Source organism: Homo sapiens, chromosome 6 (genome assembly GCF_000001405.40).
Source record: "Homo sapiens chromosome 6, GRCh38.p14 Primary Assembly".
NCBI lineage: Eukaryota > Metazoa > Chordata > Mammalia > Primates > Hominidae > Homo > Homo sapiens.
Genome location: NC_000006.12, coordinates 147181843 through 147206357, shown reverse-complemented (window position 1 = coordinate 147206357; position 24515 = coordinate 147181843). Strand labels below are relative to the sequence as shown.

At 41.2% G+C, this 24515-nt stretch overlaps 1 protein-coding gene and 2 long non-coding RNA genes across 16 annotated transcripts in view, besides 4 other annotated features; 2 read left to right on the top strand and 1 right to left on the bottom strand.

The window, feature by feature from the left end:
- The window catches only part of STXBP5 (syntaxin binding protein 5), a 186057-nt gene extending 184116 nt beyond the window's left edge, over positions 1-1941 (bottom strand). For all 14 annotated transcript variants that reach the window (XR_007059202.1, XR_007059201.1, XR_007059203.1 and 11 more), the window contains exons 1-2: positions 1676-1941; positions 290-387 (exon numbers count right to left, since the gene is read on the bottom strand). Coding sequence is in view for 11 of the 14 variants with exons in the window: in XM_047418197.1 (XP_047274153.1) it covers positions 290-387; positions 1676-1825 (248 nt within the window). In the remaining 3 variants the exon portion in view is untranslated. The remainder of the gene's footprint in view (positions 1-289; positions 388-1675) is intronic.
- STXBP5-AS1 (STXBP5 antisense RNA 1) overlaps positions 1744-24515 on the top strand; it is a 363227-nt gene continuing 340455 nt past the window's right edge. Inside the window, exon 1 of the long non-coding RNA NR_034115.1 lies at positions 1744-1945. This is a non-coding gene — a long non-coding RNA (STXBP5 antisense RNA 1). The remainder of the gene's footprint in view (positions 1946-24515) is intronic.
- Positions 1799-1988: a silencer, noted in NCBI's record as "silent region_17649". NCBI's record gives its function as "represses an Ori minimal core promoter by ATAC-STARR-seq in GM12878 lymphoblastoid cells {active_cell/tissue: GM12878}" and the evidence as "EXISTENCE:reporter gene assay evidence [ECO:0000049][PMID:35858748]".
- Positions 2159-2238: a silencer, noted in NCBI's record as "silent region_17648". NCBI's record gives its function as "represses an Ori minimal core promoter by ATAC-STARR-seq in GM12878 lymphoblastoid cells {active_cell/tissue: GM12878}" and the evidence as "EXISTENCE:reporter gene assay evidence [ECO:0000049][PMID:35858748]".
- Positions 2259-2308: a silencer, noted in NCBI's record as "silent region_17647". NCBI's record gives its function as "represses an Ori minimal core promoter by ATAC-STARR-seq in GM12878 lymphoblastoid cells {active_cell/tissue: GM12878}" and the evidence as "EXISTENCE:reporter gene assay evidence [ECO:0000049][PMID:35858748]".
- Positions 2339-2758: a silencer, noted in NCBI's record as "silent region_17646". NCBI's record gives its function as "represses an Ori minimal core promoter by ATAC-STARR-seq in GM12878 lymphoblastoid cells {active_cell/tissue: GM12878}" and the evidence as "EXISTENCE:reporter gene assay evidence [ECO:0000049][PMID:35858748]".
- On the top strand, positions 2787-4482 carry LOC124901422 (uncharacterized). The gene is made up of 2 exons (XR_007059803.1): positions 2787-3542; positions 4065-4482. It is a non-coding gene; the product is annotated as an uncharacterized LOC124901422 (long non-coding RNA).

Sequence of the window (24515 nt, the reverse complement as noted above, 5' to 3'; positions counted from 1 at the left end):
ATTTTTCCTTAGAAACTTCTATCTCCTTACAAATAAAATAGTTATCATAAAAAAACTTTAGACCTCTATTTGGATATATGTTTAGCTACTATAAACTAGGAGCTGAGAAACATCACAGCAGTATATAAGCTGAATTATAATCAAGGGAAAAGCCAACACATGATTTCTCATAGTATATATCTAATCACACCAACAGGAAAATAAAAACTTTCTTTGGAACTAATCAGCAACACAGAAGGACTGGGGAGAACAAAGTAGAAGTTAAAAAATAAAATTAAAGAAAGGATACAGCCTTAAAGCACCAGTCTGAGTTCCCACTGCCAGGATCTTCTGTACAGGATCAAAGGCCAGGGCTGAGGGTTGATAGGGAAATCCATGGCGAACAGTCTAGGGATGGGCAAGTGACATCACAGCAACCAAGGCAGCAAGCGAAATTTTAAAATAGAAAGTCAATAGAGGCGTTAGAATTTAGAACCACTACCACTGATGCAAAACACATACACATGCACTTACTGCTTTTGAAAAAATAAGTGAAACCTACATTAACAAAGTTATTCACATAGAACCTGAAACAAACAAAAATCTAGTCCAGTGATATACTTTAATTTCGCTTTTCCATAATACTGGTATTCCATAGAAGAAAATCTTTTATTAATATTCTATACTACTACATCCGACACCAGATGACTAAAGTTTGCAATGGTCCAAAATTCTGTAAACCCATTAAATGCAATTCATACTTTATTTTGGCAGTATTCATTTCATCATTACTTTATTTGGATGCTAACGCAAGTACTTCTAAGGAAAAGCTGTCATATAATTACTTTAGTCAAGCATTCAGTAGAGCAATAATCAAACCTCTATCCCAACATTTTACACTTGTAACAGAATGAAGATGAGTACAACATACATTTTTGCAATTTACTATTAAGGCCATAATCATTTTAGGGCATTAGACCTATATATATATATATATATATATATATGCACACTTTTAATTAACTCTGACATACAAATACATGGCTATTTATGAGAAAGGCAGGTATTAAAACCGAGGCAAGTTTGTGTTTCTCATTAAGCAGCTGGTGACTTAATTCGCTGCATCATTCTTTCTGAATTACAGAACGCTATGGCAATTATCGTGCCATTAACAGGCAAAAATCTCAGTACTTTTTAACAAACATAATGATAAAAAGAACCCTGTGATTTCATATCGTAAGCCACTTACACCACATTTTAAGGGAAAAGTGATGAGCAAAGGTGTGGTAGAACAGGTTTGGCTTTTTGATAAACAACATTCATTAGACACCGTTTCCAAAGGAAACTTCGAAGTTGGTGAATCATATTAAAACGCTTGAATATAAAAGCTTCCAGGTTATTACTGGCAGTGTCAGAATACGATTAAAGGTCGGATAATAGTTTGAAGCAACCTTGAACTGATTGCTGCATGTGCAAAGGGGAGAGAGAAAAATCAATGAAAAGGAGTAAGGTATCAATCTCCAAAACAACCCACCGAAGAAACGTTTGCCAAGGGAGGAGCGAGCCTTTTATTAGAGTTATTATTATTATTATTGGCGTTCTCTTCCCTTGCATTCCCATGTAAAGCCCGAGTAGCCCCCTTAAAACAACCCCAATTTTTCAATGACGGTGTCGCGGGGCTGCGCGCTCCGTTCACCTTGCAGAGCTGAAAGTGCTCGGACTGGAGCGTTTCCTGGATCTCCGGCTCCCGGTTCCCAGGCGGATGCTGCTGCTGTTGCTGCTGCGACGCCGAGGACGAGCCGGCGGTCAGGCCGTCCAGCACCTTCCTGATGTTGAATTTCCTCATGGTCTCGGAGGGGCTCCCCCGCAGCCCGGGAGGGGAGGCACAGGGGGTCCCCGGGCGGGGGAGACCACCCGGGGCCGAAGGCAGCTTCGACCGCGGAAACGGAGGAGTGGGAGTGTGAGGGTAAGGAGGCAGCTGGGGGGAAGCAAAAGATAATCCGAACAGGAAATACTGCGACGACAAGAGCGGCGGCCGCAAGAAACCTGGGCGGCGACCCCTCTTCCTCCGAGGCCGCCGCTGCTTGGCGCGGCTGCTGTGGTGCCGATTCAGCCGCCGCCGCCGCCGCCTCGCTCCGCGGCCCGGCAGCAGCAGCAGCAGCAGTGGCGGCGGCGCCCGAGCCCGCTCAGCCCAGCCTCACCTGGCCGCGGGCGGACTCTGCGCCGCGCCGCCGCCCCGGCTCGCCCCCGGCGCCGCCACCGTCGCCGCTGCGTCCATGGCCCGCGGCCGCGCCGCTGCTCGCCCGCCCCGGCCCCGCAGTCCCTCGGCGCGTCCTCCGGCTCCTTCTCCTCCTGCCGGGGGTCGCCGGCTCTCTGTCCGCGGCCGCCGCTCGGCCTCGCACACAAGGCGCCTGGTGTGGGTCCCCGCGCCGCCTGCCTCGCCCCGCCTCGCTCCTCCGCCGCTGGACCGGCCCGCCCTCGCCGCTCCCGAGCCCGGCTGCGTTCCTCAGGCGCCGCCGCGGCCGTCGGCTCTCCCCGCCCAGCCGCTCCCCATCGCCTGACAGGGCGCCTCGGCACACGGCACCAACGCCCGCCCGGAGCAGCAGCGGCAGCCGCGGTTACAGCGCGGGCCGCGGCGGTGGCGGCAGCAGGGCCTCCCAGGAGCCGGGCTGCGGTACCTGCGCATGCGCGCCGCAGCCCGGTTCCCCCACCCTGGCCCAGCAGGCCCCCAGCCCCCCAGCCCGAGCGAAGCTGGGGCTTAAATTATCTTCTGCGAAAATCCCAGACGCTGGCTAAATTTCTCCCACCCCAGTCGAGTTGCCAGAGTATGCAGCTGCTTCTCTTGCAGCTGGCATAGTAAAAATGTTGACGACTAACAAGCAGCAGGAAACCTTTCTTTCCAATTCAGTCATTACAGCAGGGGTTGATGCTTTCTCGCCGTTAATGGGGTGCACGCTCCTGGCCGCTGGCTGCAGTATTATTTTTCTTGCTTTATTGACGGGCGTTGTTTTTGTTTGATTGGATTTGAGTTTTGAAAAAGAGCGTCTAGACAACGATATGTCAGTGGCAGGAGGATGATGGACTTAGGTACTAGGAAAAGGAGAGAAACCTAGACGGGAAAAAACGGGTTCTTTCCTACAGCTGTTACTGTTGGTGGAACGTGTCTGGTCTTAGCAGTTAGCTGCTGGGATGGAAGAGGCTGCCAGCGGGGAACGGTTCCAGGGCCGGTGTCAGCCCGGGCCGATGACACTACCCCGCACCCAGCCCCTCGCCGGGGAGGAGCGCGGGTGGCAGGAAACGCCGCGCTGCCACTATTTTTCAGAACCTTCAATCTGCCCTGACGCTGATGAGCCACTCAGTAATGCCCTGGGAGCTTCACTCTAGAACGGGGAAAGGGGGATAGGATGAAGTTTTTGCTCAGATCTTTCCGAGGCCGCACTGCCCATCTCGCGTGAATGCTTGGAGACAAATGCCTGGCTCAAGTTGGAAAAGACAGACAAGAGATTGTGCCGGGGAAACCCCCCGGAGAGTGCGTTCAACAGGACAGGTGGACGGAAGCACAGGTACTTGATTAGGAAGGATGTGGAAATAGGAAAGACGTAAGGAAGGAAGGAAGTGCAGGAAGACTAATCCTAATTCGGGGAGAGGGGGACAGGTTCCTAGCGAATGACTCCTCGCGCGCTCTGGTCTGCGGAAAAGCCACGGAACCGCCACAAAGGGTTTTTTTAAGTTCCAAACCTGTCAGAAGCACCCGCCCTCTTCTTTGTGAGGTCGGCTCCCTCTCCTTTAGGGAAATTCTCGTCACCCTATTGGTTGAGTTAACCAGCATTCAAAAGCAGTCAGCGAACCAACTACGACTGGGCCCAGGGATTTCGGGAAATGTAGTCCACTCTGCAGCTTCCGCATCCCAGGACGATGTCTTGCATTTGGAACCTACAAAATTTTGATTTGTCGTTTAATATTTATTGAATTAGTTGATTCGCTGGGTGCAACGACCAAGAAAACAAATGTGAGGACATTCCTAAACTATTTCCAAGTGGCTCTGAATTTTTTATTAATTTAGTTCTCTAACATTTTGTTGTCAGGCGGTGTGCTAGGTACTAAAGACACGAAAATGCAATCCTTGCTTTCAGCAAGCTCACTACGGTCTAACGGAGACGACTTTTAACATAAATAGTAATTGTAAAACGATGTGATGAGTCCAATGATGGAATAATGAAGGAGGACGGCAGAGGGCCACTTAACTGGCCAGGAAGGCTTGGACATGGTGACGCCCACCATAGATCATGCCGGATAAGGAGGAGCAGACCTAGCGAACAGGAGGCAAAGACCATTGGAAGACAATGGGGAAGAGAGCCTCAGAATTACCTTGAGAGCTTTTTAAAAGTACATGTGATTCCACAGGGGGAAATTGCAAAACAGACAGATCACAACCCCATAGAATTGTATGATCTGCCTTTTTACTTACCTAGGTCTAAAATAAATCTATTGGATAATTTTTCATCATTGGATTATAAAACTTTCTAGAAAAAAAAGACAACTTCTTGTTGAGAGGCTTTGTGGTGTAGTGGGAAAATATAGGCTTTGTTGTCAGCCAGCCATGAACTTCAGTCCAGGCCATGGTAATATGTGTAATCTTGGGCAAATTTTAAATTTTTCTAGGGATCAGATTCCTCAGGTTTAAAATGAGATTAATACCACCTTCTTAGAAATTTATGAGCATGAACTGGAGGGGGAAAAGAAAGAATATGAAAAGTTTGTACTGCATTGCTTAGTACTCTGTAGACACTCAAAAATGTCAGTTTCCTATTCTATCAGGGTCCTTGAGGTAAAGGGGACTTCAAAGAGTCACCAATTTAAGCCAGTTTCCTACTTCTGACTCTAGAATGTTTGTTTTTATTTCTATACTCTATCTTTTCCATCAGGTTATGAACTCATTCTGACATTCTCAAAATTTCAGTTCTTAGTGAATACCTGGAATTTAAGATGGATATAGCCTACCTTTGTGAACTTGCAGTCCATCCTCTGTGCTCAGAGACACGGGGACTTATCCGAAAATCCAAATGGCCAAAACCAACAATGGCCCAAAATAACGACCTTTATTATAGCAAAGGTAAAATAATCGATCCTCAAACTCACAGTAATTCTTATAAGTCAGTTAGAATTAATCAATTTGTTTTTTCAAATTAGAACTGAAATTTTGAGAATTTTATTTGGAATTAAACATTTTAAGTTTAGAATTAAATACATTAAACTAAATAATCTATATTATTCATTTTTAAATTGAGCACAAAACAGAGAATTTTACCCATCATAATTTCTCAGAAAAGTTGTGTTTATTTGTTTTATTTGAATGAATGAGTAAGTATGTTGATTTCAAGCAATTCAATAGCTTCTGCCTTTAGGTGACATTCTCCTGAATGAAATTATTTCTTACCTGTTTGAAGAATGGACCATAAGGTGATGATGTAATAGTATACTACTGACAAATTATAAATATATATCTTACATTTAGCTGAGTCAAGGTGGCACTAAAAAATATTCTGCCAACACAATGAAAATAATAAGACAACTTTTTAAGAAAACGAAACTACACATACACTAAAAGAATGTTAGCATATGAAATTGACAGGTGCAGAAGACTAAAGACCAAGAATTCATAACATTTCTGAATCTATCAGTCCTCATTATCCAGTTTAAAGGTTACCAGACTAATGCAGGACCTGGTACAGATCGCAAAGGTAAGCTGGATGCTGATTGAGATGGAGAAGGCAGAAACTGAAAATAAACATTTTAATGAGAAATTATTTAATGGCAAAAGCTTTCTGGAAAGTAGAACAAATCTACCTCACTTGCTAGCATTCATTTTTATTGACTTAGTTTCAGTTTATTGAGTCCTGAAGGCTGTGTGCATGACAATAATTAATTCACTACATAGTTTAATAGACTATTGAATTTAAATTATTTGGAAATTGCAGCACAGATGTTAATTAGTTGGTTTGTCTAGTTCAAGCCACCTTTTCTGAATGAGTTCCCTAGCCCCTGCTAAATGACGGGCCTGGGCAACTCTATTTTAATCAGGTCCCCTTGTTTCCTGGTCCAAACCACTAGGATCTGAGACTGAAACCAGAAATAAGGCAAGCCAAGAGATAATCTTCTGGGAATTTGGAACTGGATTACAAAATTACAAATTAATCTGAATGAGGAGGAAGCCATGTTGTCCTAGGGCTAGGTAGTGTGTTTTATTTCCTACACACCACAGCTGAGTGTACCCATTCTTAGACAGAACTCGGGAGGATGGAGCAGACACAGAGATGACAGAGAATGACCACCAGTGACCCAAGGAGGTCGAGAGTAGAATCTTGATTTCTGACTTTCTGGTTCCCGAATCTTATGCTTTATGGAAACTTGAGACATTCTTTCCTTCTTTGCGTTAAGTAGTTTGGTTATATTTCTGGTTTTTGCAATCAAATATTCTGATAGCAGTTTAGATACAACTTGCATCTAATTGTAAAAGAAAGTAGAGATCATTGCAGCCATCTGTCACTCACCATTTTTACCTTCTACTGTCAGTTCTTCCTACAGTGAAGAGATGGCTGCAATAATCCAGCAAGGGGTTGGTGGCTTGGACCAGAATGGTTAAAAGTGATTGTAGTGCACAGGGGGTTAGATTCGGGGTTATATTTTAATGGTAGAGCCAAACGGATTTGCTGATGGTATGGGGGTATCAGAGACAGGAGAGGTAAATATGATGCCTCGAGTTTTGGCCTGAGCACTTCAAAGTGTGGTACTACAATTTCATTTCCACAATTGTGACTCCTGACTAATTTCTGGTTACCATTTGTTCCTCAGTGGACTCAACAAATATCATTAGCTAAATGCACAAGACTCATCTGGGAACTAGCAATCCACTATATTATGATTTTTATTTTTTTAAGATGGAGTTTCACTCTTGTTGCCCAGGCTGGAGTGCAATGGCATGATCTCAGCTCACCCCAACCTCCGCCTCCTGGGTTCAAGCAATTCTCCTGACTCAGCCTCCCAAGTAGCTGGGATTCCAGGCATGCACCACCATGCCTGGCTAATTTTTTTGGATTTATGGTAAAGAGGGGGTTTCTCCATGTTGGTCAGGCTGGTCTTGAACTTTTTTTATTTTTTTGATGCCAAGTCTCACTCTGTCACCCAGGATGGAGTGCAGTGGCGTGATCTTGGCTCACTGCAACCTCCGCCTCCCAAGTGCAAGTGATTCTCATGACTCAGCCTCCCAAGTAGCTGGGACTACAGGCATGCGCCACCACACCTGGCTAATCTTTGTATTTTTAGTAGAGACGGGGTTTCACCGTGTTGGCCAGGCTGGTCTTGAACTCCTGACCTCAAGTGATCTGCCCACCTTGGCCTCCCAAAGTGCTGGGATTACAGGTGTGAGCCACCACGCCCGGCCCATTGTGATATTTTATAAGCTCTGGCCTTTCTACAAAAACAGATCAGGCAGATGTTAGTGAGCCTTGACTATTGCAGAGATTACCTCTGTAATTTAATATTTAATATTATTTGTAAGGGTGTAATTAAACTATAGACGAAAATGTCTAGACAAGGGTCAGAAAGTCCGAGTGAAGAGAAAATTCCAGAAGTGCAAAACAAAACTAATAGAACCAAATGTACAGTTAAATGTAAATTAGTAGGCATTAATATATAATATGAGTGAAAAATAACGTCAAATTCTAAAAACCTAGACCCTGATCAGGCAATCAGAAATTGCTTGATACATCTTCATATATTTCAAGTGCTGTTTCTACAATGGGAATGGTATTTCTAAAATGGGAAGAGTATCTGAGGTAAGAAATAATGCTCCCACTAGTCTTAATTTTAATATTTTAGGATTTGAATATTATTGTAAATACATTGAACATTTTGCTAAACTTTTCCCAAAGGGTTTGCTTTTCTTTTCAAATAACTCATTAAAATTTGATTTGTGGACTAAAGAGCAAGCAATAAAGCTTGTTCCTTATGGAATTACTCACAGCTAATATACTGTGGTAATGAAATAAGCTTGAAACAGCAGTGTAAGTTAATATTTTGTTCCTTCCTCACCTTCACTGCCTCCTTCCACTGCATCCCGCATTCCACCCCTGGATTCGCACCTATATATATATTTATATATAGACAGCGACTAATCGTATATCATATTACTTCTAAAAAGTATTCTCAAAGGGCAGGCCAAGCACACCAAGTGTGATTCTGAGGGCTGTCGCCCAGGCTGGAGTGCAGTGTCCCGATCTCAGCTCATTGCAACCTCCGCCTCCCTGGTTCAAGCGATTCTCCTGTCTCAGCCTCCTGAGAAGCTGGGATTACAGGCACCCGCCACCATGCCCGGCTAATTTTTGTATTTTTAGTAGAGATGGGGTTTCACCATATTGGCCAGGCTGCTCTTGAACTCCTGACCTCAAGCGATCCTCCCAGCTTGGTCTCCCAAGGTGTTAGGATTACAGGCATGAGCCACAGCGCCTGGCCATCTTTTTTTTTTTAATTAAAAACTATGCAGCACGCAAAGTAGTACTCTTCATCTGAAAAATAGGTCAGTAACTAAACACCAACATACTAATAGAAAACTGTCTGCTTTTTCCCCTCAGAGAGAGTTGCCTGACAGGGCAGCCCAGTGAGACAGTGTTAATTGAGACCGATGTAACAGTGCCTGCCATCGTAGGCTCTGGGGCTGTGTCACCCCTCTTAGTCACTGAACTGTGGAACATTTAGATGCAAACTCTTTTCTTTCTGGTCAACCCTAAAGATTACCACATAAGAAATCAAAAAGGACCAAAACAAAAACCTTAACATAAGGAGGGTGGGAACACTTTCTCTAAAGACCCATCAGAGCCAAGAGAATCATATTAATACTAACAATGAAAACATGCAAAGGATGCTAATTAACTCTTAGAAGTTTTTTGCAGAAGGTAGGAAAGCACAGTCTGTATCCATGGGATGGAGTTCCTCCAAGCAGGACTAGGTATCTAGCTTTAAACTCAGAATGGATTTTTTAAAATGTGTTTGTAGGAAACACTACACACTTGGTCCAAAGATAATGTACCTGCAGACCTAAAACTGGAGTACCTGCTTCCCCCAGCCCGGGTCAAACAGCTTCCACTTTGGGGTAAATTTCTGGCCTCCTAACTACCTTTAGGCTTCCGCATCAGCTGCTCTTTTTTTATGGCATTCTATTATTCTATTTTCACACTTCCCTAGTCCCAATTCCACCTTTAGTAGCCATCACACTGTTCCTGATTCTATGACCAATGGCACAAACTAAGTTCCTTTAGGAATGCAATTTTTTAAATGCAAAATCTCCATTAAATTACCTGGTAACATGTTAGTTAACCAAAATGTTAGTAAACCAAAATGTTAGTAAAATGAATATAAAAAATATGGACTCTACCCCAAATAAAACTGGGCCTTTTAATTCTCAGCATACTCTCTCTCTTTCTCTCTTTCATGCAAACACACACACACACACACACACACACACACACACACCCCTAGCTCCAAAGACTTGGAAAACAATTTAGATATTGTTTTAATCTGTTAAGGCCACTTTTGAAGGAAGATAAAACACTTAGCATAGAAAAACATCCTCTGAGTTCTCTTCACCCTTTTATCAGCTTCCCCACCACCTTCTACCCCAGCTCAGGGCAGTTTTTCAAATACTCCCCCGCCACCCCCATGTCCCTCTCTCCTCAGAAAGCCCAGCCTTTGCTGGATGGCTTACTTGCTCTCTCCAAATACCCCCTCATCTCACCTCCTAGACTGTTCTGTTCTATATATTTTCTTATGTAGCACTATATACTCCCTTCTCCCTGACACTCAGCTGATAGCCTTAGCTAATCAGGAAGGGAAAAAATGGTGAATAGGTCAGAAGCACAAAGAACGAATATTCTTTACAAAGGAAGGACAAGCAATGTAACTACTTACACTTTGGTATTTTAGTTCCAATCTATTCCTGGCCCATAAATAAATCGAGAGAAAAAAATAATCGTGATGTTGGGGACACAAAATGATTAAAGTCTATAAAGCAAGGGAGGGATGGAAGGTAATAGTGTTAGTGCATTTTCCAAGATAGAGGATCAAAAGTCTGAATCTTAGTGTTTGTTTACCTGCCAGCAGGGTGAGCATTAGTATTTCATCCCACAAACATTAACTGTGGGCCTACTATGTGACAGGTATCTTGCTGGATGTTGTGGGGAATACAAACATGATTCAACTTGGTTTTGGTAACCAATGGGATGGCAATTTAGTGGTAGGGAAGCAGAATCCCCGAAAGGTAAGACAAACCCAATGTCAAAGGCATGTTTTTATTCTCCTGAGGATAATTACTCTGTCTCATTTCACACTCTGTAGAAACACTCTCCCACTGGGCATATACTCATCACCACGGTACTTGGTCCCAGAGCATGGGCCTCCAAGGATAGAACTCTTAGGGTTGGAAAACGTGGCGGGTGGAGGAGGCAGTTCCCTGAAATCATTCAATCCCTTGTCACTCATTCAGAACCTCTAACTACTCCCACTAAATTTCATCCAGGTCAGCATGACCCAAATATTTGTACCAAGACTTAATCTCCTTGTTCAACAGGCCCCCAGTACAACTTCCCTTCCTTGGTTTCCTCATAACCGTAATGACAGTATAACCTCAAGGTGTGGCTTCATAATTAAAGTAAATGGGGGTTTTCACATTTGCATACAAGATAGTCACTATTCACCCTTCAGCATGGAGTGCCATGCCTCTTTCCATTTTTGTTGTGATGAAATAAGAAATGATCCTTTCATTCCAAGACTATAGGAAGAAAAAGAAAAGGGATACCAGGCTGTTTCTTTGCTTCACATCATTTTTTAGCAGCTGGATATGACTGCACTTTTGAGAAGAAAGTGAAAACAAAGTAGTTTGAGACTATCAGTCAACCAAAAACATTTTTGATTAGGGCCAATAGATTTGTGAGGGTAAAGGAAACACCGTGAAGATTTTAGTGACACTGTGGGTTACATCTATCAATGAGTCACATTCTCTGCCCTGTATTATTTCAAATGATTCATATTTACTTTTCAGTCATGAAGTTTGTTTTTTCTAACTTAATATAGGATGTGTCCAGTGACCTACAAGAGCATCCAAATTTAGTAATCTGTAGTTTGCCTAAAATGTGCATATCATTGATACATAAATTCCTAGGCAGTGGCTGCCTCTTAAGCTAGAAATGTTCTGCTTATTCATGATGAGAGGGTTTGTTAAATTCAGGAAATTGAGGAGGAAGTTCCATGAGAACATTATCATAGTTTACCAGTCTAGTGGTTTCCTTAAAGAGGTGTCTCACTGCAATTGAGACATAGAGGAGAGGTACCCACCCGGTGACAATATTGGTGTCAATGTGCTACCTACTTCAGTATTTGTTTTTTTGTTCAACTATTCAAATATTTGCTACTGATGCTCAGTCTTTTGTATTTCTATTTCTTATGTCATGACATAACAGTGAGGTCTCAGACCGCTAAGGCAGACATACCTAGATCCTGTTGTTAGCAGTGGTGAGCCTGTATGTGTCTGCAGCAGCTCGGTTCTTGCCTCTTCAGAGGAAAGAATTCAACTGAGGGGCATAAAACAGATAGACCGAGGGAAGCTTTTGAGCAGGAGTTCATCAAGAAGTTTTGGGCCAAGTATGGTGGCTATCTCAGCACTTTGGGAGGCCGAGGTGGGCGGATCACCTGAGGTCAGGAGTTCGAGACCAGCCTGGCCAACATGGTGAAACCTCGTCTCTACTAAAAATACAAAAATTAGCCAGGCATGATGGGGCGTGCCTGTAATTCCAGCTACTCAGGAGGCTGAGACAGTAGAATCGCTTCAACCTGGGAGGCGGAGGTTGCAGTGAGCCGAGATTGCACCACTGCACTCCAGCCTGGGCAACAGAGTGAGACTCCGTCTCAAAAAAAAAAAAAAAGAAGTTTTAGAGTAGGAATAAAAGGAAGTAAAGAACAATCTGAAGAGGGCCATACAGGCAACTTGAGAGATCCAGGTGCCCGGTTTGACCTTTGACTTGAGCTTTTACATGTTGATATGGTTCTGGGCTTTTGCATCTCCCCTCTCTTGATTTTTCCCTGAGGCAGGCTGTCCGCGTGCACAGTGGCCTGCCAGCACTTGGGAGGTGAGCGTGCTCAGTGTGTTTACTGAAGTTGTGCACAGGCTCATCTGAGATGTTTTTCCCTTACCATTCAGTGTTCCTAAAGGAACGTCATATACCATAGACCACTTAAACACTGCTATTTTGCCTCTTAGTGTGCATGTTTGAGCCCACTCAACCAACTCCTGAGATCTTACTGGGAAGCTGCTGATCACCATCTTCAGGTGTTTTCTATCTGTTGGGACATGGCCTTTCCTTAGCACTAGCTGCAATCAATTATTATTTTAGCGAGACAGTTTAACAATTTGCCTGCCCATTACCTGACATTCCTGGAAGGAAGGTTGGGTCGGGGGGACCTCTCCCGCTCTGCTCATGTCTGCCTACTGCCTCCTCTAACATTTCGCTAGCTAAGTAGAGTCAGACAAGTCACTTCACACTTTTCATTTCCTCGTGTGTAAAATGAGCATACAAATACCTAAGTAAAGTGTTGTAAGATTACATAGCAAACTTTAGTTCCTAGCTCAAAATTGTCACATGTATTAAGTGATAACTAATAAAATCATTCTCTTTAACGTCTATAACCATTCTCTAGGTGACTTAAGATATTAAGATGACTTAAATATTATCTAAACATTGATGACTCCCAAATTTGTATGTTTACTTCAAACTTCTTCCCTGAACTCCAGATTTTATTTGTGTATGCTTTTCATTTATATAAGAAGCTTATATCCAAAAGCCATGTAAAATTTAATGTCCAAACTAAATTCTTCACTTCCAACTTCAATCTATACCTTACACCTCCCAAAATCTTCCTATGTCTGTTAATGGTGATTCTACCCTCTCAGATGTTCAGGCTCACATCAGTAACCTCTGATCACCTGCTCTCCTCACCTCTCACCCCTGGCCATCACACACATACCTCTATTTTAAGTCCATTGGCAAATCCTGTTAGCTCTATCCTTACAATATTTTCAGAATTCAACAAGTTCTCACAGTCTCCACCCTCATACTTTGGTTCAGGCCAGAATCATTTTTCATATGGGTGATTGCAGTATATGTTAAACAAACCCCCTTTCACCTAGTCAAGTTTTTGTTGTTGTTGTTTTTTAAATTTGAGACAGGGTCTCACTCTAGAGTGCAGTGGTGTGATTATATCTCATTGCAACTTTGAACACCTGGGTTTAAGCAATCCTCCTGCCTCAGTCTCCTGAGTAGCTGGGACTACAGACATGCACCACCACAGCTAATTTTTATATTTTCTCTAGAGATGAGGTCTCTCTATGTTGTGCAAGCTCATGGCCTCAAGTCTCCCAAAGGGCTGAGATTACAGGCCTGAGCCACCATCCCTAGAACCATGTCATCTACTCTAAAGAGAGTGCTGAAGTTAAAATATGTCATGTCAGTTCTGTACTCAGCATCCTTATCTCCCTCTAAGTAAAAGTCAAAGTTCTTTACAATGGCCTATAAAGGTGCTATAGGATCCAGTCCCCACTCTCTACTCTGTCCTTACCTACTCTCCCTCTCCCCTTGCCCATCCCAACATAGCCACACTTGCTTTCTTGCTGTTCCTTGATGATATCAAGCAGCCTCGGGGCTTTGCATTTGTTATTGCCTCTGTGTAAACCAGTAGTAAGCAAACCTTTTCTTTAATGAGCTAGATAGTAAATATTTTCAGTTTTGGGGGCCACATACAGCCCAAGTTGCAACCACATTGCAACAGTGCCAGTGTTGCACAAACTGTGCAAATACAGCCGTAGATAATATGTAAACAACTGTGCTTGGCTGTGTTCCAGTGAAACTTTATTTACAAAAACAGGTAGTGGGCTGGATAATCCCTGGCCTATACTTCTCTTCCCCTAGATATTTGCAGGATCCATTTCCACATTTTCTTCTCGTCCTTGACCATTTGTGACAAATTGGTGATGTGAGAAACTGACATTGATGTCACCTCATCAATATAGCACTCCTTGACTTTTTCTCATAAACTAGGAGTAATTTCTGATATGGTTTGGCTGTGCCCCCACCCAAATCTCACTTTGAATTGTAATAATCCCCACGTGTCAAGGGTGGAGCCAGGTGGAGATAATTAAATCATGGGGGTGGGTTTTCTCCATACTGTTCTTGTTGTAGTGAATAAATCCCACGAGATCTGATGGTTTTATAAATGGGAGTTACCCTACACAAGCTCGCTTGCCTTCCACCATAAAAGACGTGGCTTTGCTTCTCCTTTGCCTTCTGCCATAATTGTGAGGCCTCCCCAGCCATGTGGAATGGTGAGTCCATTAAACCTCTTTTCTTTATAAATTACCCTGTCTTGGGTTTGTCTTTATTAGCAGCATAAGAACAGACTAATACAATTTCCCTTCCCCCAACACACACACATAGGCACTTCCCATGTTCACCCCAGTCCCCCTGCCTGTACTTATTTTTCCCCTTAGCTCTAACCACTACCTAAGGCACCATACGTTTATGTGTAAAGGACTTGGTTTTCTTCTCTGTGGCATCCCTGAGGCAGAGGACAGTTGATCGAGGAAAAATGAATCAGTAGACTCTGGACCAGAAGGCAGGAGTTCCTTTTAGCTCCAGTGTAGCCAACATAGCACCTACCACGTAATTTAACCCCTCCATTTACACATATCTCTTTGTAAAATGGAGGAAAGTAAGACATGCTGTAGAAATCAAACAGTAAATGCCAAAAAAGTCCTATTGAAAAGTAATCAAAATGTAAACTTTGTTAGTTGTTATACCCTAATTAGGAAAACTATAAATACCCTTCAAATCAAAGAGCTTTGAATAAATGTTTGATTTGAAGAACTGACTTATTTAAAGTTCTAAATAACTAGAGTAATTTTCTCTTTATGGTAATGTTCTCTACTTCAAACTTTATATAGAGAGAAAAATTGTAAATCTTCAGGAGTAATTTGAAGATCCAATGTAATTGTTTTCTCATTTTCCCAAACATCCTTTAATAATCTAAGCATCCACTGCACAGGTCAGGCACAGGTGATCATCTGGACCTCCATTTTATAATTTCATAACTAAAGGTTATTTAATTTTAATTAAACCTAAAGTCTTATCGTTGAGCCACCTGTTTCACTAATTTGACTTGCAAGCTATGATTTATATTATCTCTAAAGTGGAAATATATGCCAGAATATTATTGTCTAATGTTTATGACTTCTAGTTTCTTGTGAATTGATTATCATATTAACTCTATTCTAAAGTGAACAAGTTTCAGAAAAATACAAAAGCTCTGTCCAACTGCAAACCCTCATCTTCCACAGAAGGCCTTGGCATCTCCAGATATAGTGCAATGAGCATTCCCTATGTCTGGGTGGAGAATCGGGATGCTATTGGCCAGGAAGATACTTCAGGGGTCAGAGAACTGGGAGTGTGACTAACCCAAAAATGCAAGCCAAAACAATTCTGGCAGAGTGAAGCCCATTTTACTGGTTGCCCCTGAGCATGAATTGCTACGTCCAATTAGCAAACACAGGATCTGAGATTTTCTTGGCTGCCGCACAACTCAGATCGCTGCTTCAGTGGCAGCCAAATGATTATCCAGGAGCAAATGAGGGAGAAGGACAGAGATCCCCCATACAGCCTGTTTGAAACATTATTATAGCAGCAGGCACAAAGCTCGCAGCATGCAGGTGAAACTTCTTTCACTTTCAAATGCTAACATTAATTTCTAACTTGAAGCCTACTCATTTTTTTTAACTTGATGTAGAAAATTAGTCTCATCATATCAGGTAAGCTAAGGGATTTTTTAGCCATTCCCAGTTTTAAACTCAGTCATTTCAAGATGTTCGCTTCTTGCCTTTCTCACAATGCTGCCATGGTGGTGAATGGAAATGTGTTGACTTCTTAGCCTTGGTTCATCCTGCCAGGTTCTCAGCACAGGTTATGAACCTCCACCTTTCAAGGGCAGGGATGGTCTTGGGAAGCTTACTCAACTCTGCAGCTGAGATTTGGCTGAGATGAAGCCACGGATTCAGATTTCCAGTGGGGAACGCCCGTCACATAGCCATCTAATACGATACTTTATCTAATTGTAAGACCCACACTAGGGCCAAGAAGCCTTTCTCCAATCCTCTCCTCCCTACTGTAGTGCTATGTTCTGACTTTATTGGCCATGCCAACTGAGTGGGGTGGGTGATTTCTCTGGGAAGCTGGTAACATCCTAGAACAGAAGACACAGGTTACTCTTAGATCACCAAAATGAAAGGGGGCAAAGAGAAAGAAGATACTTGAAGAGATAGATATTGTTATGGACTGAATGTTTATGTTCATAAATTCATATGTTGAAATCCTAACCCCTAATGTGATGGTGGAAGCTTGGAAGGAAATGAGGTCCTGAGGGTGAAGCTCTCATGAATAGGATTAGTGTCCTTATAAAAAGGACCCCAGAGATGTCTGTCTCTTTCTACCAGTCTGCAGTCTGGAAGAGGGCCTTTGCCAGAACTCGACCATGCTGGCATCCTGATCTTGACTTCCAGCTTCCAGAACTGTGAGGAATAAATGTCTGTTGTCTATAAGCTACTCTGTCTATGGTACTTTGTTATAGTAGCCAGAGCTAAGACAGATATGTTTGTGAGGTGCCCTTCCTCAACTCTCCATCCACCTGTGGAAGGAGGCTTGAGGTATAGAGCTCCCCACACTTGCACCTAACATTTCAACTTTTCTCTTCCTTTCTTCCTTGCTCATATTTGCCTAGAGAAGGCAGAAAGAACAGACAATTTTTTTCCCCTCAGTCACATTTGTCTGCTTCGTAACTCTTTCCATTTTAAATTAAGGATTGAAAATTAAGACGTTGCCCCTTTTGTTTGCCAGCAAAGTTTTCGTGATCTCCAAGTGGGCCAAAAAGGGACCTACTTCTCTGAGCCCGAAAGCAAGTAGGGTCGTTGGAGGGATGGACAATGAGTGAGAGAAAAATCATGCTCCTTACTACCTATTTCCTTATCCTACCATAATTACATTATATTCAACATTCTTGTAACATTCTCATTCTTATTTTACTGTGACATAAATTTATAAAACTCTTAAAAAGGAGGAACTCATTGATTTTAGATTAAAATATTATAAAGATCCTAAGAGTTAGTTATCCACATTCAGCTTGGGTTTTTCCTTCATACTTCTAAAAGTACCACACTTTTTCTCTTTTTAAAGGGGAAAAACATGTCGTGCAGGTAGTCTGAAGTCATGAATTCACATAAGGCAAGCGATGCTGTCAGCAGCGTAACATCTCACTTTTTCTTTTGAGACGGAGTCTTGCTCTGTTTCCCAGCTTGGAGTATAGTGGCACAATCTCGGCTCACCACAACCTCTGCCCTCCCAGGATCAAATGAGTCTCCTGCCTCAGCCTCCCGAGTAGCTGAGACTACAGGTGCCCATCACCACGCCCGGCTAATTTTTGTAGTTTTAGTAGAGACTGGGTTTCACTATGTTGGTCAGGCTGGTCTTGAACTCCTGACCTCAGGTGATCTGCCCGTCTTGGCCTCCCAAAGTGCTGGGATTACAGGCATGAGCCACCGCGCCCAGCCTAACATCTCACTTCTTAACATTATCAGACCGAGCCCCTCTGACATAAATGACCAAACACATACCCCTTGAATTGACAGTGCAGTCATTTTTGTATGAGCACCCAGCTCCTCCACACAGCAATGACCTTCCAAAGAACTGAAGTCACTCACCTCTCCAGGGCCTTATTATTCCCCTCTCATTTTGCCTAGGAAAAGGGGTAAGTAGGGATAAATCTCAGAATTTATGGCAGGTAAGCATTATTTATTTTTCTCCACATTTCAATTTCAATCTTCCATTCCATTTTTTAAAAATTATTTAAAATATTGTTCTAAAGCATTTTGTAAAATTTTTGTTAGTTTGTAGCTTTGTGGAAATGGTTAGAATTTAGGGATATACCTTATTAATGAAAATTTCAAGATTCTGAATCAAGGTTATAAATAGCATCAATAGCAAATATTCTATTAATTCAGTTTGACTTTGTCTTTCCTCCTAGGTTTAATTAAGCACTCAGCAGAGATTTGTTTTATTCCCTTCCAGTTTTCATTGTATTTCATTTTATTTCACTTGTCCAAGATTTTAGTTGATTTTCTACCCAAGTACTGGAATAAATATAATTCCTCCTAACATTATCTCTATCTTTGTGATTTTTTTTTTTTTTTTTTGGTGTTAGCACTGAATTTTCGCCTGCTTTTTGATCAGTGACTTTTCTAAATCAATAACTTTGAAAATGTTATATAGATTCCCACTGCTTATAATCCAGACAGTCAGAAAACTTAACTGACTCTAACAATCCTAAGACTCAGCATCATCTGGTAATAGTAATGTTGCTGTCACAGTGGCTGAGGCTGACATCCCCAAAGAACCCTCTTAATAAATCTACGCTGAGCGCCAGCACAGCAAACCAAAACTTTACATTAGGCTGATATCCTACCAGCTGTCAGACCCTAACCTCATTGGCTCTGTTCTTTTGTCCTGTTTCACTCCATTTTGTGAAACCTGTTCTACCCCTATAATTACTAGTGGTGAAAGTTGTCTGGTTGCAGTTACAAACATGCTCATTGTACTAACATTTTGTAGCAGAAATATTGTAATGAAGGAAATGAATGTAATTTCCTTCTTCAGGAGTTCATCATGCAGCTTATTTCTCACCTGAAATAGAAATGTATTATTTCATAAAATAGGCAAGCTTAAGTACGTTGTCATTATTCTTGAAAATTGGAAACTTACAATAGAAGTCACAACACTACAATGAAGCCTGAGGAGATTGCATAATAAAACTCATGTAATTCAAAATTTACTTCTGTTTAACAAGGCATAATATGGGGTGGTTTCACATGTGCTCCTAACTTACATATTTGGATTGCAATTTCTAATATTGAGCGCAGACAATAGATCTGTAGTAGCTGTTATCAAAATGCCTTCCTATTGAGAGTTGCAACTATGATCCCCATTCTCTACCTCGAAGATGTAACATGTTCCCTCTCCCTAAGCAAATTAACACAATTCCCCTTTTATCAGGTTATCTTATACCTTCTTACAAGCCATTACCAGGCTACTTTTTTTATTGTGGAAAGTTCTATTCCCAGAAACCCAGGCTCATCATTCTACAAATAGCAAAAGTATTGTCTTCAATGATACTTTTCTTAATAGCTTGATAGGGAAATGACTATTTCTTCATGTATATGTATTTGTTTGCCTCCATGTTTTACTCTGAGCTGGCCATTTCTCACACTACATACTTTGATATTTGTGTTTGTCATGTTCAATCACTTTAGCCTGAGGGTGGTTGTTCATGTTGGCTTATTTTACAGTTGAAGTACTGTTCTCTAAATTCTGATGGATGATGGATAGAGTTTAATGATTTTTATGGAATGACCACCAGGGAGTTTCATCTAAATATATTCTTAATAAATGTGCTTTTGATACTGGTATAGGAAGGTAGGTGGTACTTATTTCTTTTTCCTAATTAGATGTTTTCAAATGCTAACTGTAAACCTACCTGGCTTCATCCATATTCTTTGCAAATATGAGGACACAAGCTAAACATCCTCCTGATCAGAAGATACATGCTCTATCCTGCCAGCATTTTCCAGAAAATCAGCCTGACAGCAAAGGATGGATGCCTTAGAAGAGAGTAAGTAAGCTCAGTGCTCACCTTGGTCAGGGCTAGCGTCAGTCTTCCCTGCTCCCTTGGTGAAAGTTGGCCCTGAACTGCCAGGCCACTTCCCTCTGCAAGTTGCATGGTTCCCTGACATGTGTCACATACAAATATAGGGGGGCTATATAGATCCTGAAGTCACCAGTTCTTCAGTGTCAGTGAAAGGGAAGTGAGATTTAAATAGCCCATTGTCATGTGGACATTTTCACATGAATGCCATCTAGGCACTAAGTCAACATGTCTAAAACTAGGCTGCTCATCTCTTCCCTTGAACATGTTCCTTATGTTCTCTCCTTCGGAGAAGACTACCACTATTTGTCTCTCACCATCACATTCGTTAGTCACTAAGCCCCAGGACTCTTACTCCTCAACAGCTCAGGGCCTGTTTCCTCCTCTTCTCCCCACTGCACCACTTGTCCTAGTTTGAGCCTTCATTATTTTCACTTAGATTACTGCAATATTGACTTCCTTATCTTCCTGTCTCTAGTATGGAATCTCTCCTTGCTACCCAAGGATTATTTATCCAATGTAAAAATCTAATCAGGGCTGGGCGCGGTGGCTCATGCCTGTAATCCCAGGACTTTGGGAGGCCGAGTCAGGCAGATCACCTGAGGTCAGAAGTTCAAGACCAGCCTGGCCAATATAGGGAAACACCATCTCTACTAAAACTACATAAATTATCAAGGCATGGTGGTGGGTACCTGTAATCCCAGCTATTCAGGAGGCTGAGGCAGCAGAATAGCTTAAACCCAGGAGGCAGAGCTTGCAGTGAGCCAAGATGGCACCACTGCACTCCAGCCTGGGCAACAGAGAAAGACTGTCTCCACAAAAAAAAAAAAAAAAAAAAAAAAAAAATCTAATCAGGTCATGTCTTTATTCAAAACTCTTCACATCTCTTCACTCCCTCTGGGATACAACTTTTACTCTCTATATTCTCACCACCTGGTCCCTGCATGCTCCTCTAGTTTATCTCGGGTTACTACTCACCTTGCATATTACTTTCTAGAAATATGGAAATCTGTCTTTTCCCCAGCCCTGATTTTGCTGGTGCTGGAACATGACTTCTTTCTTAACATTCTATTAATCTCAAGTCCTGTGTCATCTGATACGTGATGCCTCTGTCATTTCCTTAAAGACTGGGTGCCTACTCATCAATGTCCCCACAGCCCACTCTTCTTTTTGTTTTGTAACTTCTTATAGGACTTCTGAGCAACTCCAAGTAATAGCATTCATTCCCTAATCTACAAAGTAGATGCCTTGCCTTCCCACCCCCGACCCCCAGAGTTAATACAGCACACAGCATCTATGTGAGTAGAGGGTACTCCTGACTGTTTGCATGCCTGTGTCTCTGATAGGCTGCAATCTCTTAAAGTACAATAATTTACCTTTAGTTGTTTTTATCGTTAGTAGCTAGCACCAGTGTCCGACCAGGTGTTCTGTTAAATGCATAGTGAATATATATATGTGTGTGTGTGTGTGTATATATATATATATATACATATATATACACACACACACACACGTATCTATGTATCTTGTATCCATCTGTCAATCATCTATCCATGCATATGCACATGCACACAAACATTCCCTAAAAATAATTTTCCCTCCTCCTAAGGAATGTAAGCATACAATATAGAGGCATATATTAAAATTCTAATTCACTTCAATCCAATTGCATCAAATCTAATCCAAATTAAGTTAATCCAATTAAATCTCTTCAATGATTTCATAGCTTAAATTTCAAATGATTAGAGAATTGTGTTAGAGTTTACAGGAAAATTCCATTTTCACTTTTTAAAAAATGTTTTAAATTAATGAACTATATTTTTGAGAATTTTAGGTTCACAGAAAAATTGAGCAGAAAGTACAGAGCTCTGATATATCCTCTTCTCCCCACCACCATGCAAAGACCTTCCCTGCTATCAGCGTCTGGCACTAGAGTGGTCCATTTGTTACCATCACTGAGACTACATTGACACATTATTATCCCCTAGAGTCCATGGTTTACATGAGGGTTCACTCTTAATGTTTGGTTTATAGATTTTGACAAATGTATAATGACATGTATCTACCATTGTAGTATTATATTGAATCACTTCACTGCCCTGTTTTATTTATTTTAAATTTCTGCATTCAAGTACATTACTTTTGATTTTCTTTTTCCTGGATCTTTTTATAAATGGTGGATATATTCTACTTTCCCTAAAGTGGTTTTTTTTTTTCTATTTCTTAGAAGATGGCACCAGTGGTGTCCTTGAAAACCTGTGTGAATGTAGCTGTGAAATGAACAATTTCCCAAACCCGCAAATCCCTTTTTTATAGAACCCACAAAGTGGAAACTTTCTTGTAGAGAGAGAGTGGAACTCTCTCCACTGCCTGCCTTATTTGGTGACTGCAGGCAACGAGACACTAGTCTCCCAAGTACCTTTCTTATGTTGGCTTATCTATTTTTCTTCTTACCTTTTCAAAAGCTACATGTAATTTTCTTTTTAATGGTTTTTATTGGCTTTTTAAAAATCACAAAAGTAACTGCAACTAACATGGGAAAGTTTGGAAAATAAAGACAAGATAGACAAATGTAGGCCCAACAATAAACATATTTAACATTTTGATTCATTTCCTTCTATTTTTCCTATATATACTTGCACAGATGTACATGTCTGTAGATATGTATATTTGAGTCATGCTATCTAACCTTGCATTCTCCTGTTTTTAACTCAACATTGTATAATAAGCATTTTCTTATCAAAATTATCTGAAAATATTCTATTGTATGCACCATGGTTTATTCAATCTCTATTATTTGATATTTAGGTTCTTTGAAGTATATTTTTGCCAATATGAATAACATTTTTGTGTATAAACTTTGATATGCAATGATAACTATTTCTTAGGAATAGATTTCTAGAAGAGCACTCTTGGGTAAGAGGCTAGCCACATTAACTAGTATTACCTCTACTCTTTTATGGAGTGTTTGCAGTCTTGAAGGTCTTTGTCATTCACATGTAAGTAGGAAGGACAAAGACAAGTAGGCACTATTTTTGTGAACAGGAGCCACTGGGTTCAAGTCCCAGTTCAAATCCTTACAGGGTGTGTGGACAAGTTATTCAATATCTTTCTGCTTCAGTTTCCTTATATGTAAAACTGGGGTAAAAATCATTTCTTTGTAGAGTTCTTGCTAGGAATATAAATATACTAAATATATGTGATATGTTTTAAAATTCATTTAGTACATACACATGTATGTTTATTGCGGCGTTATTCACAATAGCAAAGACTTGGAACCAACCCAAATGTCCAACAATGATAGACTGGATTAAGAAAATGTGGCACATATACACCATGGAATACTATGCAGCCATAAAAAATGATGAGTTCATGTCCTTTGTAGGGACATGGATGAAATTGGAAATCATCATTCTCAGTAAACTATCGCAAGAACAAAAAACCAAACACCGCATATTCTCACTCATAGATGGGAATTGAACAATGAGAACACACGGACACAGGAAGGGGAACATCACACTCTGGGGACTGTTGTGGGGTGGGGGGAGGGGGGAGGTATAGCATTGGGAGATATACCTAATGCTAGATGACGAGTTAGTGGGTGCAGCACACCAGCATGGCACATGTATACATATGTAACTAACCTGCACTTTGTGCACATGTACCCTAAAACTTAAAGTATAATCATAATAAATAAATAAATAATTCATTTAGTGACTGGTGTAGTTGAATTATAACGCTAAGGCCAGAGTACTCCATTAAGAATTATTTTGCATTCCATGTTAGCTATGGCAGTTGTGTCCTGAGGATGAAACTGCCCCAAGATATTGTCATGCCTATAGCATATTTTTAGCTTATATGGGATCACATTTAATATCCTAAAACATAACTTTTAGATCTAGACTTCTACTTTTCTTTCTCTTTGAAATTCCATTATTGAAAGCTGACTACATAGGTGATTGCTAGATGATGGTCCGATCACCTTGGTTGGTATAAGTTAAAACATAAAAAATTATATCAAACAACAACCATGTTAAAGTAAACAAGAGTTGAAAATCTTTTCCGTTCTTTAAATTTGTACATAGCAGATGGAAGTTGCTAGATTAATGGATTATGGATTTATTATTTTTCATTGGAAGTATTTACCAGACTCGGGAAACAAGCTATTGCTAACTACTGGGGTCAGATTCAAAACTTTTTTAGTTTCTAATTTTAACATAATGTTTTACTTACAGAAAGGTTGCAAAAAATATTATAAAGACCTCTATATCCTCTTCCCAGACTCAGCAATTCTTAATATGTTGCCCCATTTAGCATTTGTTTCTTTCTCTTGGTGTCTTCTCTTTTGCACAAATACTTCTGTATGTATTTCCTAAATACTGTCTTACATAACCAAAGTACCTCCTTCGAAACCAGGACAGCTAGCAACAATATTGTTATGTGATTCATAGATTCATAGTTTTTTTGTTTGTTTGTTTGTTTTTTGTTTTTTTTTTTCCCTTGAGATGGAGTCTTGCTCTGTCACCAGGCTGGAGTGCAGTGGCACGATCTTGGCTCACTGCAACCTCTACCTCCCGAGTTCAATTCTCCTGCCTCAGCCTCCTGAGTAGCTGGGACTACAGGCATGCACCACCACACCCAGATAATTTTTGTATTTTTAGTAGAGATGGGGTTTCACCATGTTATCCAGAATG